The sequence below is a fragment of the Homo sapiens genome, chromosome 8 (genome assembly GCF_000001405.40).
Source record: "Homo sapiens chromosome 8, GRCh38.p14 Primary Assembly".
NCBI lineage: Eukaryota > Metazoa > Chordata > Mammalia > Primates > Hominidae > Homo > Homo sapiens.
In genome coordinates, this window is record NC_000008.11 from 63398934 (window position 1) to 63419923 (window position 20990).

Sequence of the window (20990 nt, forward strand, 5' to 3'; positions counted from 1 at the left end):
GAGTTTTTTACTTACTCAACAAATAATCACTGAATGTTTATTATGTGCCAAACACTACTCAAAGTGCTAGGAATAAAATTGTAAACTAAACAGGCATAAATATCTACCTTGCAGAGCTTCCAGTGGAAAGTGTCAAATAATAAAAATATTATTGAATATGTCAGATATGTAAGATAATAGTGCATTGGAAAAATTAAAATGGTGGTACTAGATCTGTGTGTGTGTGTGTGTGTGTGTGTGTGTGTGTGTGTGTGTTACCATGTTAAGAAGGGTGGTCAGGTCATACTTCCTGATAAAGTGATATTCTATTCAAAACAGGTGAGAAAGGAAGCTATTTTCTTGTCTGGAAGAACATTTCAGAAAAGGAGAAAGGCAAGTAAAAGGCCCTGGATCCATATACACAATCCCATTCTAGCTCATTTAAAATAAATTGGTGTCCTTCAATGTGTTTGCCAATATTTCTGTGAGTTTCCTCACAGAGGGTGGCCTCAGGAAGATTCTCACAGGGGAGGCCTCACAGGTGTGCTCACAGAGGCAGCCTCACAGGTGTCCTCACAGGGAAACCACACAGTGTCCTCACAGCTGTCCTCGCAGAGAGAGGCCTCACAGCACAGGTGTCCTCACAGGGGGTGCCTCACAGGGCTTCCCTAACACACCTGCTGGTAGCTTCTGCTCTGGCTTTCCCATTCTGTTGCCACACTGCTTCCTCTACTGCTAAGACCCTGGTGGGCCTGTGTTCTGTTGAGCACAGCGGGCATCCCTGTGATGCTATTGGATACCCTGCTAGTCTGCCATGGAATGCTTCCTGTCTTAGGTGCAAAGAGTCAGTGTCCTGGCTGTTGCCATGCCTCTGGGAAGCTATAGGACTTGACTGCTATTCTAGGTGGTGGCCTCCCCACCAACCCCATTTCTTTGCACGACTGCCACTGCCACTTCCAACTCTGGTCAACAGTACAGACTCCTCATATCCTTCCGGAGGTTGGGGCTACATTGTGCCTCTCACTGGAAATAAGATGTCCTTCCAGAAAGAGGAAGGAGGTCCTGGTCAAAGTCTTGTCTCATACCCAGCTCTGAGAACAACTACCTGGCATATTAATTGGCACCACATTTTTTTTTCTGGAGAGAGCCCTATCACAACAGGGCACTGTCTTGCCATCACTTCAAAGAAAAAATCAAAATACTCTGATAATGGTACATTTCTCAAGGCCTAGGTTATTTGGCCATATTTACAGTTACCTTTTTACCATGGGAAAAAATTAAAATGTGTTTAAACATTTTTAAAGGGCAAAAATCAATTGCATAGGTAATGAAAGTTTTATTATACAAACACATACATCGTAAGAGGACTTGTACTATGTTGAAGTGGATGTAGTTGAGAGAGAGCAGTGGCATGTTACATAAATCAGTGCTTATAAATTAGTAATTTTATAAAAATTTATCTTAGAAGCTCAGCATTTATGGGGAGTTTATAATGGGGAATTTTGTAAAGTTAGATTAAGAGATTAGATATCTCTATTTTCTAGATTAGTCTATTCAGATTTCAGGCTATAATAAACGACATCTCCATGTATATTTAGATGTAAGTGATCACTCGTGTGGGTCCATTTGACTGAGTTTAGTGGAAAATTTGCCAATAGAATAAATTGCAGTTAATACAAATCATATGAAATAAAGGAATAAATTGAAAAAACTTTTAATCTCAAGAAGAAAACAACACGGGCCTACTCACTACCTAGAAGATGAAAATTTTGGAAGATTTTATGTTTTTAAGAGGTTAATTATTTCAAAAATATTCTACTATAATTTTTAGACCTAACCTGACAGTTTTTGAATGACCAGAAAAATAGACTAACTCATCATGACCAAAATCCTATAATGGCCACGCTGCGCAACTCAAGCTAAAATTTCCTCATGGAGAGGTAGCTAGTGAGGCGTGGGGTTTAGGAGGCGCTGTGACTTGCAGCAGTGTAAACAGAGTTGCATTCTTCTTCCACTGAGGATATTGATATTTCTGGTCTAGGTCATTCTCTGTTCTCAGGACCCCAGTGTTCACTTTCACAAGAAATATATTTTTTTAATATCTTCTGTTCATCTTGTGATCCATCTTAATCTCTCCTTGCTCTAGTGGCTTGCTTGTTTCAGGATTTGGGGACCACAAAGCCCACAAAGTCCTTTCTCTTCATAACCTGCCATCCAAAGACATTTTTTGATGCTCAAACAATTCCCTGCTGTTTACAACTTCAGAGGTGTCCTCCGAATAATTTTCTCCTCTTAACTTCAATAGTACTGTTTCTATTTTTCATCTGACTTAGTAGCTCATAAATCAAGAGACAGGAGAGAGAGAAAGAAAACCACCTTTACCATAGATTCTTTTATTTTTCTCTTTTTCAGGGGTTATTTACTAAAGGATAGTTTTCAATTTGTTCTTACTTTTATATTTTCACATTTTTTTTTTACAACTGAAACTTGTGGATTTCCTCCACTTACTTCTCTTTAAAAACTATTCTACAATTCCATAGAAAACATTATTGAAAAGTATTGTAACAATTGACATATTTCTTGTTAGTAAACTTATTCTAAATATCTTGATTCATATTTATAAATTCTTGAAAGAATATACATATTTCTCCCAAAATGGGTATCTATAATATTTAAAAATAGAGTAGAACCCTCAAGACCATTTTGTTTTTCGTGGATTTGAGTGTACAGTAATTTTATCATTTCCTTAAGTCATGGGACTTACCTTTGTCAGTAAGGATATATTTAGTTTCAGCAAGAGAAAACCCATACTCAAACTGGCTTATCAATAAGACAGTTTATTATCTCGTGTGATAGGAAGTTGAGGAACGGGGCAGCCTCCAGGAGAAGGAGAGAGGCTCCTGTTCTATCGCGTGCCTTCTCTTGATTCTGTCTACCTCTGTGTATTGGCTTCCTTCTAAGGTTGTGAGCAAGGTGGCTACAGCAGTTTCAGATATAACAAAGTCCAGGGGACAAAGAAAGAACTGTTTCTCCTTGTGTTTCTGTGTTAGAACACAGAAACACATTCCTAAATGCCCTCAAACAGATTTTCCTTCACTTTGAATTGACGACTAGGATTGAATCATGTGCATATCCCCGAATCAGTCATTTGCAAGGGGAATTTGAAATACCATGAGTGACCTCGGCTATTCATCTGGGGAGTATTTGACTCTCGGCTTCCCCTTTCACTTTATGTCAGTCGCATTAATAATGAGGGGGCCACATAAACTACTAAAATACACCACAATTTCAGTGTAATATGGTATTCTAAGATGGTTGCCCATTTCATGTTCTATGGCCAGATTCATTAAGGATTCATCTGCATTCCTGTGCGGTCTGTGCTCATTCCAAGCAAAGCTGGAAGTGGGAGGAGAAGAGGCGAAACTTCTTTGGGATATTATTAACTCCCAGGGTTACTCTCCCAAGTACATTTATTACTAGATGCCTGTTGTCCAGAGAGGAAAGTGATCTAGGGATGACTGCAACTCTCCCCTGCGTTTAATTCAGTGTGTATCAAGGAAGCTCATAAAACAGTCTTCCAGATTACTGATATGTAACTCTATTAGAATTTAATTTACTGTAAGATAATTATAGCAAGGTCTCTCCGTGTAAGACTAATAAAAAGTGAACAGATTTTCCCTCAGGAGAAAAGTTCCTCCCCAGATGTTCACCTCTATTCACTCAACATGAGCATCATCCTTGATTCTTCCCTTTTCGTCATCCTACAGCTCGAATTCAGCAGGAAAACCTTACATTCCGCTTGCAAATAGATCAGAATTCCTCCGCTTCTCTCCGAGGTAGGCCACTTCCTAGTGACCTGTAGAGGGCGCTATAGGATGGACTGCCTCGTGGTCTATCCTCTTCCCCCAACTCTACATTAGTGCTCTGCCTTCCAACCCATTCCCAACACAAGAGTCCAGGAGAAACTTAAAAAAAAATGTAGACTGCACATCACTTCTTAAAATCCTTTAATAATCTTCCATTGTATTAAGAAAAACACACATACATACTCTTGGCTGTGGCTTGTAATGTACATGTTACTGCTTCTACTCTCCTCTGTGTTCTCACCTGGTATGTCCTACCTTTGTTTCATCCACACTGGGCTACTTTCTGCTATTGGACACAGTTAAGTATTTCCCCATCACAGGACCTTCACTCATCCTCTTCCCTTTGCTTTGATCATTTTTTCCCCTGTTCTTTGGATGACCTTTTCCCCCGCTTCTGAACTGGTCTCAGCCCAGTCATTGCTTTCCCACTGTGGCTTTCCCTGCTCATGAAATAGAGTAGGGACCCTTTTTAGGGGCCTGCTGGGCCTCCCAAGCATAAAAATAAATTAAAAAAAAAAACTTGAGTATTTTGAGGAGAATTGAAGGCGCCTGAATAGCTTTGAGAAGTAAATAACCAACGTGATAAGCAAGAGGATAATAATAGCTTAAACAATAGCCACCCAAGTAAGTTAAAATCACAAGATGTTTAGTTCTCTATACAAACTAAAGATAACATCTTGACATGTGTAACTCAATTATTTTTTAGAAACCCAGACCCCCACCACTTGGAAAATGCCAACTACTGTCATGTAGACCTCAGATAAGGGGAAACTGAGGACTAAACTCTGAGCTCTGTTCTTTGCTCTAAATTTCTTCCTGAGAGGCCTGGAGGAAGTGACATCCACAGGCCAAACTGTAACCTTCCCTTCTGTTGACCCCAAGTTTTTAGACAAAGCTTTGCTTCCTTAACCAATTGCAAATCAAAGAATCTCTGAATCCACCAATGACCTGTAAGCCCCCACTTCAAGATATCCTGCTTTTTTGGGCCAAACCAATGTGTGACCTTCATACATTAATTTGCAATTTTGCCTGTATAACTTCTGCTTCCCTGAAATGTACCCCTGTCTTTAAAAGCCCTCGCCTGTAAGCCATCAAGGAGGTTGGGTCTTAAGTGTGAGCTGCCTTTCTTGCTTGTTTGGCACCATGAGAATAAATGTCCTTTTTTTTCTTGCTGCAAACCTCAGTGTCAGTGTTTGGCTTTACTGTGCTGGGTGAGCCAGACCCATGTTCAGTTTCGTAATGCTCACACTATCTATACAGACTTTCTCCCTTGGATGGGGAGTGGTAGCATAATTTTAACCTGTTCTTTACCTTCACAAGCCTCTTCCCAGTTTGTGCTTGTGTGCTTCTTTGTTTCCCTATTATTCCCTGTCTCCCTCACTAGACCTGATGCTCCAAGAGGGCCAGGTTGGTTTCATTCTCTGTGGATAAGGTTCAGTTAATAACCCCCCTGTATCATGGTGATTCCCTTGAGTATGGGTACTGTCTCTACATTGCTAGCACCTAACAGAATGTTCCCCACATACTATGTCTCTAGTATGCATTTATTGTTGAATGAGTGGGTACCCATTGTTAGAAGACTAAAAATTAGCATTTGACTACAGGATCAAGAAATGCAGGAATGGATTTCTCATTATTTTCAGAACTTCAACTGCATCCCTGGCAAACATTCCACAGGGTTTGTGATGTTTTCAGTAAGTTTAGTGCCATGATAGACCATCATTTTTTTTTTTTTAATGAGAAAAGATAATACTTGAAAAGTCAGAAAGCCAGAAGAAAATAATTGCAAAAAAGGTGAGTAGGAGAATCACCTCATCCAAATCTAACTTGATCATGTGAAGCAACCTAAGAGACTCGTGGAAGGTTGCAAACAACTATAGATAAATCTCTTTGGTGACATATAATAAAAATTTGGCCTTGTCAATTTTAGCATCCCATTTCACATTACCCCATGGCTAGTTGAACCGTTTTAGATATATATTGTTAGCACTATATAGTACTTAACTATGTGCTGAACCTAGTTTAGTGCATTCACTCATTTAAGGCTTCCACAACCTCATCAGATAGATTTTATTATTACAACGATTTTACTGAAGCTTAGAGAGGTTAAGTGACTTGACAAAGATCACCCAGCTAACAAGTGGCAGAACTAGGTTGCAAACATAGGCCTATAATTTTCAAAGAGTAAAAGACTCCCTTGGAATGACCACACTGAGGAAACTAAAGATGAACGTGAATTAGAGTTATAAATGTTAATGATTGTTTTCTTTCATAATTGTCGTAGTTCTCTGCATCTCACATACAGTAGCTGTGTCAGCAGTTTTTATTTTCGTTTTTAAATAATTTTAGGCAGGCACAATGTAATATGTAAACATACAAATGCAAAAAATATAAAATTAAGTGATTTCTATTATAAATAATTTTTGCTTAGTTCCTTGAAGTAGCATCCTAGTACTACTATTTGATAGCTGAACATTAATTGATTAGTAAATTGGGGAAGGATGACGGGAGAAGAGTAATGAACTAGACTGAGGACACCTGGGGGTGCTCTGTCCTGCTTAGCTCTGCAGCTCTTACTTTCTCTGGGTCTCAGTTCCTCGGCAAACTTAGGGCACTGGGTTAAGTGCTGTGTAGCTCAAACCAACTCTAGCTTTGTATAATTTTGTACAAAGGTACTGATATGTTAATAGAAAAATAAAGTCCGGGTGCGGTGGCTCACACCTGTAATCCCAGCACTTTGGGAGGCTGAGGTGGGCAGATCATGAGGTCAGGAGATGGAGACCATCCTGACTAACACAGTGAAACCCCGTCTCTACTAAAAAAAAAAAAAAATTAGCCAGGTGTGGTGGCGGGCGCCTGTAGTCTCAGCTACTCAGGAGGCTGAGGCAGGAGAATGGTGTGAACCCAGGAGGCGGAGCTTGCAGTGAGCAGAGATCGCGCCACTGCACTCCAGCCTGGGCGACAGAGCAAGACTCTGTCTCAAACAAAAAAAAAAAAAAAAAAAAAAAAAAATTAAAAGAAAAAGTGCATAACTATCCTCTTATTTTAGACATGAGTTTTCAGGAAGCCATCCTAATCCTATCAGTTCTACCTTCATAAACATTCTACTTCCAACTAGAAAATTGCCTCTAGTCTTAAATCCCGTCTAACCAGTTTTTTACACTGTCATTGGACTTTTTTTTTTTTTGAGATAAAATTCTTGGCTTGCTTTATCATTCCCCTGCTTAGGGTCCTTCAATAACTGCCCTTTCACTGATATATGTCCATGACCAAACTCGTTCCTATTTTACCTTGAATCTTGTGCTCCTCTCTACCAAACCATGTGCAGCTCTTTGAACTTTACAAGCTATCTCACATCTCTATGCTTTTTCTCTTGTTGTTTCCTCTGCCTGAAATGCTACCTCTCTCTGTCCCTTGTTTGTTTGGTGGACACTTTCAAGACTTAGGAAGATGTCAGCTCTTCTGTGAACCTTTCCTGCCTGAACATTCCTCCACGCAGCAGGTTTCCCACAGCCCCGCCCAAGATAGAACTGACTGTTCCTTTTTTGGTGTTTCCACTGTCCCCAAGGCAGATTCTCTACCTGAAACATGTTAACACTTATCGTCTATGTACTTCTCCTAATGCTCTCGACAGTAAAGAACATGTTACCTTCATCTTTGCATCTCCAGCATTTAGCACAGTGCTCCATATATGGTAGTAACTCAGTAGATATGAACAGATGAATAAAAATGTGAATGCAATTTGAATGAATGAAAAGGCATCAACTGTCTAAAAAGTTATTTTAATTTCTCAAGTTTTGGCCTAATGCTTTCAGAGATGGCAATGGAAGATAAAAACGTGTGAAGAGTAAAAGAATGTTGTAGGGAGAAGGTCTTTCATTTCATTGTCTGTATTGTTTCAAGCTGCTTCCGATACTATGATCTCTTCTGGATCTTGTTAATGAAATTTTCAAGTATTTGATATGATATTAATGCTCCAATATGTCTTTTGAAAACAGTCCTAATTTTATTTGGACAGAAAACTAAAAAGGCTGGACGAGAGTACACATGCTGCAATAGGAATTAATTTGAGAGCATAGTGGTTCAGAATACAGTAATTATTTTGAGCTGTCTTTTCAAATTCAAGGAACTCAGATACTTATATGGTTTTGAAATATTGCAGTAAATGGACCAAAGCCAACTCCAATGTGTGAAAGATAGATTTTATACACATGCTTACATTTTTGATTAATTTATTCATTATTCAACCTACATTCATTGAGCACCTTCTTCTGCTGAGCTATATACCCTAGATGCTTTGGATTCAAAAAGATGGATTGGCGGATGGCTCTTTGATTATTCTAGACAAAGTCCCTGATGCTTGGAGAACGTTTTACATTCATTTGTTGTCATCACAACAATTGCCCCACACAGACTGTCCAGGCACCCCAGCTCCTGTTGAATGTTCTGTCCTCTTCACCGCCTTTCCAGCAGTCCTCTGCTAATTCCTCTAGTGTATAGCATGTGCTCCTACCTTTGAGCCTTACAACGGGTCTTTTCCCTATTTAAAACCCTCTTATCAGAGAACTCAACTCATCTTTCATACTTGCTTGTGTCAGTTCATCAAGGGAAGCTTTCCCTGATCCCATGACCAGACCAGCTCCGGGCTGTAGTTGTGCTTCGCAGGCCTTATTGCTATCACAATTAATTAATAATGAATTTAGCTGCTTAATATCTGGTCTTCCTGCTGAAATATAATGTATACAAGAGGATGATCTGTGTACCTGTTTTTCCCGTCTACTTCCAGAGTTCAGCCATGTGGTGGTATGGAGAGATTTTTAATAAAGATTTGCTGAATGATTAAATGAACTAATAGTGGCAGAATTGCTAGGATGGACTAATTCCTCTTTGCCCTCTCCCAGCTCATGTCCTGCCTTTCCTCTTTTATAATAAAAAATGCTTAATGGCTTAATGATACTCAGAGAGCAATTCCCTTTCCTAAATTGAATTGTACATGTTTGAACTCCCATAGTACATAAGGCCCTGTGGCTGTCAGTGACACTTGGGTATCCTTCTTACTGCTTCTCAAGTGGAAAGAAAGAAGAGGACAAGGAAGGTGATCCCTTTCTCCGCCAACCCAATCTTAGAGAAATAGGAAAGATCAATTGTGGATATAACAACAGCAATCTCTTTCCCCGCATGAAAGAATCATGTTGCTCATTCATGGTTAAAGTAGGATTTTAAAATAGCCAATCTAGCAAAGGCAGTGAGAATCAGGAGCAGAGACCAAAACATGTAACAATTCATTTTAGAAAAATGTCCTATAAACCAATCTCACAGTTGGAACTTAAAAGTCCCCAGATACAATCATGTTCTGTAGAGCCCCTGAAATTGCCTCTGGCGCTAAAGAGATCCTAAGCAATATTACGCAGGCAGGAAGAGGAATAGGGCATCCATCACATTGTCATGCTCTGCCCTGTTCTCAAATTACAAAGTCAGACTCAGTCCAGAGTTGAGGGATAGTGTTCTTATTCTGCTTTTGTCTACCCCATGTTGGTTATGACAGCTGGCTGGGGAGTGTGCTCCTCCAGCTTGTTTTTAGAGAGTCCATCTCTCTTGATTATCTCGACATCCCTTACTGCTGGCCTGTGAGATCTCTTCCTGTATGCTGTCTCATTTTTCCATATTAAGGTGGCTCTAAATATCAGTCTGCCTTAAAACCCGTGATGTTTTCTTTCCAGAAGGGGTTTGGAAGTCTCAGCAAGCTCACTAGCAGAACAGAGCATCTCTTTACTCTATGGAAATGGACTAACTCAATATGACGTCATTTCTGCTGAAGTCTTGTCTGCTTCCATGACTTTTGGAAACCATATTCTAATGAATATCTAGTGACACTGTTTCTTTGGTTCTGATAAAAATCAGAATTGTACCCACTCTTATAACCTGTTCTCTTGCATTTCCCTAAGACTCCAAAGGTTAATATGTTTTAGGGTTTTATCATGCCTTTTCAGACTGTCTTTTTGCTTCATCTATATCAATGGCATCAGTTTCACTTGGAGCAACAAAATTCTTGGCCCCATTCCAGACCTACTGAATCATTAACTCTGGAAGAGATGCCCTGCAATCTGTGTTTTAACAGTTTATGTAGGTAAGCTTGGCTGAAGTTTACCTTTGCATTGACTGATAACAGGAAAAGGGCTTCTTCATTAAATTAATAGTTCAGGAGAAATTGAAACTACTGGGGAGAGGGAGGGCCTATTGAGAACCATCCCAGCAACCCGACCACAGCTGGTCTTCCCTGGACACCATGAACCACACTTTCCAAACCTTCTTCACTCCTGCCAACAGCGGCCACCCCCGCAATTATGAGATGCTCAAGGAGGAGCATAAGGTGGCTGTGGTGGGGGCGCCCCAAAACCCTGCTCCCCCGATGTCCACCATGATCCACTTCCACAGTGAGACCTCCATGCCTGACCATGTCGTCTGGTCGCTGTTCAACACCCTCTTCATGAACTCTGGCTGCCTGTGCTTCACAGCATTTGTGTACTCTATGAAGTCTAGGGAGAGGAAGAAGGTTGGTGACTTGACCAGGGCCCAGGCCTATACCTCCACTGCCAAGTGCCTGAACATCTGGGCCCTGATCGTGGACATTGTCATGACCATTCTGCTCATCATCATCCCAGTGTTGATCTTCCAAGTCTATTGATAGATCAGGAGGCATCATCCAGGCCAGGAGCTCTGCCCATGACCTGTATCCCACGCACTTCATCTTTCATTCCTTGCGCTGCCCCCAGAGCCAAGTCCTGTATCAGCCCTTTATCCTCACACACTTTTCTACAATGGCATTCAATAAAGTGCACGTGCTCCTGGTTAAAAAAAAAAAAAAAGTTCAGGGCTGGGTGTGGTGGCTTACGCCTATAATCCCAGCACTTTGAGAGGCTGAGGAGGGTGGATCACGAGGTCAAGAGATCGAGACCATCCTGGCCAACATGGTGAAACCCCGTCTCTACTAAAAGTACAAAAATTAGCTGGCATGGTGGCGGGTGCCTGTAATCCCAGTTACTCTGGAGGCTGAGGCAGGAGAATTGCTTGAACCCGGGAGGCGGAGGTTGCAGTGAGCCGAGATCGCACCACTGCACTCCAGCCTGGGTGACAGAGCAAGACTCCATCTCAAAAAAAAAGAGTCAGTATGTGTAAAATACTTAGAATAGTACTATAGTGCTTGGCACATAATATATGATATACAAATATTAGCAGGTATTAACATTATTATTACTTGGTCCCACAGGATATTCATTAACTAAGTATAGCCCCCCCACCCCATTTTCTCCCAGAGAAGATTTAAAGGGACTTACCAAGACACAAACTAAACAACAGTTAGTAAATTTGAGAGACAGTAAAAAAGAATCACATTAAACAAAAAGAAAATGAAATTTTAGTGCATGCCCTAGAAATACCCATAACTAATTCTTCAAATTTTAATTATTGCATCAACTTTGTATTACTCTGTATACCTAAAGTAAATGAAACTGGCTAGTTGTTCACCCAGTCTTTTCTGTCTTCTTTCAGGGCACTTCTTCACCTGACCCAGCAAACCCTTCCCTTCTGTCCTCCACTCTTTCTTTCTAGGGCCCCAGGCTGCAGGTTGGCAACTACAATGATCTTGCATGATGTTAGAGCCCATGACCACCTGGGTCCTTAAAGGCATGGAGCTAATCTTCCTACCGGTCCCCTACACGCTGTATTTATCCTGATTTTAGCAGAATAATACATAGACTTCTTCTGTAGTAATTTGAGCTCCCTGAAATAAACTATGGTGTAATTGAATCTTGCACTTATTTAATTCTTCTGTAGTATGAGTGTTAACATGAAGTTTAGTATGCCAGTGATCTGCTTTAAAGTTTCACCCACACGCAGTTCTATAGCAAGAGTCAAAGTGAACTATATCAAGACAGGTATATATAAAAAATGCCATTCTTTTTCAGGGCACCATGCATATCCAAATGGTATCCTTCTATAAGGTATGAACACAGCTAGTTCCTTTCTGTCAGAATAAAAAACTACAGAATTGTTGTGGAAGTTAAATGAATGGGTTCTCTCTTCAAACTTTAGAAATGCATTCAAATCTTACCATTTACCAGCTGTATTACCTTGGGGCAGCCACTGAACATTTCCAAGGATCAGGTTTCTTCTTTAGGAAATGGGGATAGAGCTGTGAAGATTAAATGAAATGAATGCATTGGAAAGTGCTCCTCACGATGCCTAGCACCTAGTCAACGCTATTTTTGTTATTTTTTTATAGATCAGGAATGAAGAGGAGAAGAATAGATTAGTACCTTGTGTCAAAGACCCTTCCTAAGTTGGAGAGACTGCACCTCATGCCAGAATCATACGGCAAGATGGAAGTTAGTTATATGCTAGGCATGAAGGGAATGCCTTTGTAGGAGAAATGAGAAAAAAGAGGAAGGAAAACTTTGTCTTTCTATATGCAGACACTTGCATAACATTTCCTCCTTGAGTTCTTGAATCCCAATGAGAGAAATGAGCGTATGTTTGGGAAGAAGGCTCATGAATTAATATTTTTCCCAATGGAGAAGCTCACAGAAACTTTGAAGTGTTTATTAAAGAGTTGATAATGAGGAGAAAACTTTTTGAAAATCATATTAAAAAGTACCTCCCAAACTGCTTCAATAATTTAACCTTGGAATCACAAGACTCTACTGGAATAGAAAGAACACATTTTTCTCTTCCCCCAGCTGTCCCGGGTGTATCGCATGCATGCTGATAACTCTGATGGCCTCTTGCTAGGAGTTGGCAGTGGAATGATACCCTTTTGTGACCAATCGAATAATTACTGAAGTTGAAATTTGTAATCCTGATATCAAATATTTCATAATGACATCAATTTAAACTTAATACTGCTCTTATCTTTTGACAAAAATAAGGTTTAATATGTTTTTCTCCTACAGGGGGTGAAATAAGGAAAGACTTTATTATACAAGATAATTAAAATTCTTCCTGAGGTTAAAAGTGATTTAAAAAGAATCACAACATGAGATAATTAGGCCTTATTAGACACTTTATCTGCTTCACTGAAGTCACTTTTTCCAGGATGATAAAATGTGCCTTTGTCTTTTTTTAGAAAGCTGGATACCAAATTTGGGGAAAAAAATGATCTTTCCTCCTCCTCTTAGACTCAGCACATGACTGTGTGAATGGATTTGTGGAAATAATTTAATGACAGGGTTACAATTTCCAAAAGCTAGACCTTTATAGAATGTGATGGTTTTCAAGTACTTATTCATTTTTCTAGTGGAATTACATTTTACCCTCTATTTTTAGTTGGTTAACAGAAAATGATATGAATTTGTGTTTTCTGATTTTTTTTTTCTCCTGACAGGCAGAATAATAACAGATTAGTTTTGGGATAGTTATCAAAATCCTTTTGTTACTTGACAGACTCGTTTATACTTTCTTATGCCATAATAGGTAAGGCAAAGAATGTCAGTGTTTGTGTTTTTAATGTCTAATGAACATACAATAACCGTGCAGTAGTGGATGGTATTTTTTAGATGAAAAGTGGTTCAGGCATTTAAAGCACATGATGTTTTTGTAAGAGGAAATAGGTACCCTAGGAGCATGGGAGTTTTGCCAGAGTTCTAAACTGTATCCCTACATGAGGTCTGATATTGCTTTTCTATTCTGCTTTTAGGCTCAGTGATGATGATGCTATGACTGCTGCCCTCTGCTAATGGCTCTTTGGGCTTCCAGTGGGTATTTTCTTTTTCTTAACAATGTTCAAAGCAACTAACAATAAATGAATGAAGTACTGGCTTGTGCCCTTAAGTTGGTATCCAACTTATTTTTATCTATTGACCAGTGGATAAAAGGAAATTGTTATACTTTGCCTTTAAGAAAACATTTCGGTTTTATTGACAATGACTTGTTTTATAGGTTTTTATCAGATCTTTCTGAGTGACCCTTTCCTTCAAGAAAAGGCTACGGATAGATCAGTGCAGCAGGGTGAGGTAAAATATACAGGTCTCTTTGAATGAAAGCTAGAAATATAGAATTGTTAAGTAAATGTCTTTTTCAAGGTGACATCTCTAGAAGAAAAATAGTATGCTTCGATAGAAAAATAGCTTCTGTCATACTATTGTGGGGTCTATTGTAAATGATATAAAGAAAATTGTTGCTTTAAAGAGAAACTTAAACAGTAAAACAAGAATGGAATGGAGCCAAAATTGTGAGCATAAATGGATTTACATCAAAAGTATCCGTTAAGTGAGGTTTTCAGCATTCACATGTAAGAGTACTGCTGCTTTTCAGAGTAGCAGTGCTGTATACACTTGCCTCTCCGTCAAGCTGGTAGGTCCTGTCAGGAAGAGTATGACACCTTCAGGGTCCTGGCGATGCATAGGAGTTAATAAAAAATGCACAGCACAAATACGGCTTAAGCAACGATTACAAAGCCAGTATGCATATAGCCACTACCTAAGTAAAGAAATAGAACATTGTCAGCGCAGTTCATTGCTGTATATTGATTTTTGAATCAGGTAAACTTGCTACATCTTCATTAATTCTAATGATTAATGGAATCTTTTAGATTTTTCTATACACGCCTACCTGATCTGTGAGTTATGACAGTTTGGTTTCTTTCTTTCCAATCCTTTTATCTTCCATTCTGTTTTTGTCTTACTGTAGTGTCTGGGGCCTTCAGTACAACGTTGAATAGAAGTAATGATGTCATCCTTGTCCATTCCAAGTCTCAGAAGGAAATGTTTAATGTTTCACCATTAAATATAATGCTTGATTTTCTAGGTTGTTTGCTAATATTTATCTCAACAGGATCTGAATTTTGTCAGTTGTCTTTTCTGACTCTGCCCAGGTCATCATAATATTCAGTAAATGTGCTGAATCACATCAGTTGATTTTCTAATGTTAAAACAACTTCGAATTCCTGGAGCAAATCAAAGTTGGTCACATTGTATTAATTCTATGTATAGCTGGATTTAATTTACTAATATTTTATTTAGAATATTTGAATCTCTGTTCCTAGGTGAGATTGGCCTGCTATGATTTTTTGTGTCAAGTTTTGTACCAAGGTTATCTTGAAATGTATCCTCTTTTTCTGATCTCTGGAAGATTTCTTGTAAGACTGGTGTTCTTTCTTTCTTAAATATGTAGAACAACTCACTAGTAAAGCTATCTAGGCCTGCAGTTTCTTTGTGGGAATGTTTTAAAGTCTACTTATTTTTATGTCAGCTTTCTGAGTTATGTTTTTCTAATAATTTGTCACTTTCTTCTATGTTTCCATTTGTTTGCATAATGTCATTTGTGTTTTCCTCATCTTTAATATCTGCAGCAACTGCAGCATGGTCTCCTTTTTTTTTCTTGGCATTGATTACTTGTTCTTTTCCTTTTTTCTCCTTGATCAGTCTCTCAAAGCACTTATAAATTAAGCTTTTTTTGGTTCTCATTTGTATACTTTTTTGTTACATTTATAGTCATGCCTTTATTATTTCCTTATTTTTCATTACTGGATTTAATTCACTCTTTTTTTCTAACTTATTGATCTGGAATCTTAGCTCATTAAATTTCAAGTCTTTCATCTTTTCTAATATATGCATTTAAGTATATATTTTTTCTTCTAAATCCTGTGTATTCTCAGTTCCGTAATAGATACTAATTTTGTTATTCATCATTTCAAAAACTATCTTTCTGATTTCTCCTTTGATCCATTGGTTAGTTAGATGTATTATTTCTCAGATTAAACCATATTGGGAAAATTTAAGGGTTATCTTGTGCTTATCAATTTCTGGCATAAGTACATTGTAATTGGAAAATATACTCTGAGATTTCAGTTCTTTTAAATTTGTTGAGATATTCATTTTGGTCTATATATTGTTATTGCTAAAAGAGTTTCATGCATTTTTGAAAATAAAGTGTATTCTGCAGTTATTGAGTTTGATTGTTCTACATGCCCACTGATTTCAGGTTTATTAATTATGTTCTTCAAATCTGCTCTATCCTTAATAATTTTTTTTTTTTTTGAGATGGAGTCTTGCTCTGTCACCCAGGCTGGAGTGCGGTGGTGCGATCTCGGCTCACTGCAACCTCTGCCTCCTGCGTTCAAGTGATTCACCTGCCCCAGCCTCCCAAGTAGCTGGAATTACCGGTGTGCCACCATGCCTGGCGAATTTTTTGTATTTTTAGTAGAGACAGGGTTTCACCATGTTGGCAAGGCTGGTCTTGAACTTCTAACCTCAAGTAATCTGCCAACCTTGGCCTCCTAAAGTGCTGGGATTACACACGTGATCCTCTGCGCCCAGCTTCCTTACTGATTTTGTCTGGTGCTTCTTTCAAATACTAAGGAAGGTGTGTCACAATTCCCTATTGTAACTATGGATTAATTTCTCTGTGCATTTCTGTCATGTTTTATTTTGTTTTGGAACCATATTATTAGGTGAGTGTGATTTAGAATTATATCTTCCTTGTGAATTGAACATTTTATCCTTATGAAGGAGCTTCTTTTTCTTTCCTAGTGCCTTTTTTCTTAAGTTTTATTTTGTGTAGTATTTATATGCTACGTCAGTTTTTTGGTGGTTTATGTTTGCATGACATACCTCGTTACATTCTTTTGCTTTAAATCTTTTTGTCCTTCGTTTTAAATATCTCTTCTAAATGCATATATTTTATTTTTTAAAAAAGGCTAACAAACTTTGTCTTTTAATGGAAACTTTATAATCTAATTGCATTTAATGAACTCATTTATATATTTAGCTTAATTCTACCATTTGCCTCTGTTTTATTTGATCTGCTCTTTCTGATTTTTTTTCTTATTTCACTTGAATTGGGTATTTTTAATCATTCAATTTTCTTTACCTTATTAATTTAGAAGTCTATATTATTTTTTCTGTTCTTTTAGTGATTATTCCTAGAAATTAGCAAGTCTCCTTGACTTATCAAGGTCCAATGTTAGTCAAAATTTATACTCTTCTCCCAGATAACACAGGAATCTTAGATCACTTGTGTAACTTTCATCATTTTTCACGTGTGTAACTTTTGTCATTTATTTGGTAAATTTCATTCCCTCTCAAAATGTATTTTAAATCCCACTAACATTATTGTTTTATACAATCAATATTAATTAACAATATTAGTATTATATATGTATACTATATTTATGCAGAGAAAGAGAGAGAGAGAAATTTATTTCCAGGAATTTGCTCATGCAATTGTGGGAACTGGCAAGTCTGAAAACTTTAAGGCAGGGCAGCAGGCTGGAAATTCTGAGGTAGGAGTTGATGCTACAATCTTGAGGCAGAATTTTTTCTTCCTTAGGGAAACCTCAGTTTTGCTTTTAGGGCCTTTCAACTGTTTAGATGAGATCCCCCACATTATTGACAATAACCTCCTTTACTCAAAGGCAACTGATTGTAGATGTTACCCACAACTACAAAATACCTTCCCAACAACATGTAGATTAGTGTTTGTTTGAGTAACTGGGTACTATAGCCTAGCCAGGTTGACACATACAACTAACCATCACAGACTTCATTTAAACATTTATTATAAAGCTTTTAATATATTCAATATGTCTTACCATCTTTTCTCTAGTTTTTATTCTTTTGTCTCTATATTAAATTGTGGATTTTTTTTCTCATGTACCTTCAAAGGTACTAATTCTCTTTTCACCTGTATCTAGTCTACTGTTACATTCATCTACTGTTAAAAATACTCTGTCACTAAAGCTTGTCTTTTACTTTTTTTTTAACCACAGAAAACCTAGTTATTTTATAGTATATAACTGTTATTTCTAATATCTCAAGTTCTTGTTGGTCTTTCTGTTTTCCCTTGTTTCTGTGGGTATGTTTTAGTTTATCTTCCATCTTTGTATTTGTGTTGTCTGTATGGTTGCCTTTCTGAGCTGGATATTGTGTTTAAAGAACTATTTGTAGAGCTAATTTGAGGACAAGAATGAGGGTATCTTCCTCCTTAGGTGATTTGTATTTGCCTCCCAGGTGCGTGGATGTGCTGGCCTTTCAAGATAACTTTAATCCATGTTTAAGGATTGAAATATCCTGGGCTATCCAGATGAAAGAAGACATTCTAAAACTCTTTCAATGCTAGTTTTAATCTGTTAACATTTACTACTGGGATGGATACAGCTTTTAGGAGCCTTGGCTCAAAGTAGGTTGGGAGGTTATTTACCAAGGTTACTATCCTGGCAGATCAAGACCTTGACTTTTCACCTTTAGTCCTAGAAGTTTACCAAAAATCCATCAGAATCCCTTAGGCTCCCCTTTTTAATCAGCAAAAGTGGCCTTGAGTGCATTTCTCACCTTGCTGTGTTCTTAGCATGCTGGGTCACCACCTGGCAGTTCCTTAATATGTTGTTAGTTCTTGGATTCAGTTTTTTTCAGCGTCCTCAGAAGGAAGGATGGTCTGAGTTTCCCAGGTCGTTATTATAGAAAGTAGATGCCCCCTTATTTTTTCATTTTTGATGTAAATGATATCTTATTTGGCTTCTTAACTGGAACGTTAAACAAGTAGTAATTTGCTTACCAAAAGACTAATTACCTATGAATAAGTACTTTCTGATTTTACCAAACAGTTTTCCTATGTATATTAATTAAATAATATGGAAAAGATGAGTTGGAGTAAAGATAATAGACTTACATGAGAAACTGATAAGTCTTTTCTAGTTGTAGAGAGTTTGGTCACTGGCTTGATCTTTTCACCCTAATTCATTGTTTTCTTTTCACCCAACTTGTTCCCTTTCTGTCCTCTTTTATCATCTTCATGCTCTTGTTGCAAGGGCCTTACAGACTCAGATGACTCATCTAATCCCTTTCTCATTCATCTTCACTTTACAGGCTCATTCATACTGACAAGGCTGAGGGAACTTTCATGTCACCTATATGTGGACCCTGTAAGCAGTCACTTTTCAGGTCATCTTCTTTGTAGTGTGCCTCAGAGGCTCTAGGCATGTATACTTTCTTTAGTGTTTTATAATGCTAATGTATATTGCTCATCTCTCAATTCTTGACTCATACTCTACTTCTCCATTGGAACCATTTTCCTGTTTTGAGGCCTGGTCTCGTGACTAGTCCTCTTGGTATCTGGATAGAGCATTTCCCTTCAATTACACTTGCTGCTTGGTGTCATGCAAGGAGTGAACTGAGTTCTTAGACACATGGCCTCACTTCTGCTTGCAACATTCTATTGCTTTGTCCTACCTCAGAGACTGAATTTCTATGGCCATTGGAGTTCTTCTATACCAAGCCAATGTGTACCATACCTCTTTGGATCTTCTAGTTTGGACTGCTGTGTTCCTGCCCCTCTCTCATTGGAACTACCTGTCTTCACTTAGTCTATTTCCTACCATCCTGAGCCATTAAGGGCCCAGGAAGCCCACCTTTGTGTTATTTTTTCCATCTTAGGCTTGAAATACCAGTGGCAACTATGGCTTTATTGACACAGGTATTTTTGCACTCTATTTAATTTTTTCCTTTTTGCCATTTACCTCTTGCAACTTTTCTATTTCCTATGGTTACATTCCTTATCTTGCACCACACTGTTGATTTTGATGTTTTCCCTGCTATTCATTAATTGCAATTTAAGTTATATTTACGTTATGTCTGTTCTCTGCATATTCCTATTTTCTGTTGTTCTTTCCTGCTGTGCTTTGGCCATATATTCCTTGAGAACAGATGACTTGCACGGCTAAGGTGTTATGCACTGGCCACCTTAGGCTTGGTTTATTTGAGCTTCTAACTTCCCTGTCATGTAGTTGTTACCAGGAATTTTCTTAGGAAAAAATTGGCCACCAGGGGGACTCTCCTTTCTGGAAACAGTTCTGTATCTGGATATCAGCAACATTCTCATTTTAGAACGGCCACCCCTATTGCTGTATCATAGGATTGAAAGAAATATTTGTAATGGGACTCAATACTAACAGAAGAGATCTTTTTTTGTTTAACATTGTTTAAAACAAGCATATAAATAACCAAAACAAAACTCTACTAATCACCCTGTGTTCTGGAAGCCGTCATTAAACTAGACGTTTTGGAGTGGAGGGGTATCTTTTGCAGTAATATGAGGAAGCTAAGCATAGAGATTACACTAAAAAAATATTATTTTGGATCATTGACATCTGTGAGAAGCTTGTACAGTGCTGTTACTCATCTCATAAAGCATGTCTCAAAATGAAAAAAAAGGGGGAGAAGAACTAAAAACAATGAAAACATTTTTATTTAAAAATTCTGCCTCACCCACATAATGCAGTTTGTCCTGTCAGAATTAGTTGCTTAGAGCCACAAAGAGCAATGGGAGAATTTTCTCTTTCATTTAAATTTGCATCCTCACTGCCAAACAAGTTGAACAATGATTCACATGAGAATGATTTTTCTTAGTATTTATAACTCAGTCCATAATGACTCATTGGGCAATTTGCAGACAAGAACATATTTAACAAGAGTCTCACTGACCTGTTAGAAAAGGTCTCTGAAAGGTAAAAATTGAGGGTAAAGAAGAAAAATTTCCACAGAGAACTTGATACAGTTTTGATATCATCAAGAATTACTGTTGTGAGATTGCTTTCCCTTTTAGATGAGAAAGAACTTAATTACTTTCAGGGTGTGAAACAGACAGGAAGGTCACGATTACCACCTACGATTACAGGCACCTACACACTATTTCATGGAGTAATGAAATAAATGAAGAATTTACCACAAATGGATACACATGTGCTAATAAAAATCACCAATACCATAAAAGGCAATGAAAGTGACATTAAACATGGACAAAAGAAATAACACCTAATAGAAATAATTGGAAAGTATTGCTGTCTCTAAGAAGTTTCTTCCAGAAAAAGTTAATGAACTGATTTTGGAAACACAGTTAAGAACATCTGGTTGAGGGTAAATTGAGAAGGAAACAGATGTGATGTCACTACTGTGGATGACTGGACAGTGAGAGGAGGGAAGGATGCATTCCTCATACAGATTATAAAACAGGTGCAGGAATATGATCTGGTTGTGATAGGAAACTTGAACTATCCAGACATCTGCTGGAAGCCTTATTTTGCTAAAAGCAGGGCTTTGATAAATGCTTCAATTGCCTTGATGAGACTTTGTTCTCCAAGAAGAGAGAAGTTGTAAT

At 38.1% G+C, this 20990-nt stretch overlaps 1 long non-coding RNA gene and 1 pseudogene across 2 annotated transcripts in view; one reads left to right on the plus strand and one right to left on the minus strand.

Annotated features, from left to right (window-relative positions):
• The window catches only part of LOC105375875 (uncharacterized), a 33098-nt gene extending 14109 nt beyond the window's left edge, over positions 1–18989 (minus strand). The window contains exons 1-4 of one of the 2 annotated variants that reach the window (NR_188106.1): positions 18507–18989; positions 14451–14784; positions 14178–14318; positions 11975–12036 (exon numbers count right to left, since the gene is read on the minus strand). This is a non-coding gene — a long non-coding RNA (uncharacterized LOC105375875). The remainder of the gene's footprint in view (positions 1–11974; positions 12037–14177; positions 14319–14450; positions 14785–18506) is intronic. The other variant, NR_188107.1, reaches the window with a different exon arrangement.
• On the plus strand, positions 10085–10695 carry IFITM8P (interferon induced transmembrane protein 8 pseudogene; annotated as a pseudogene).
• Positions 18990–20990: the final 2001 nt, after the last annotated feature.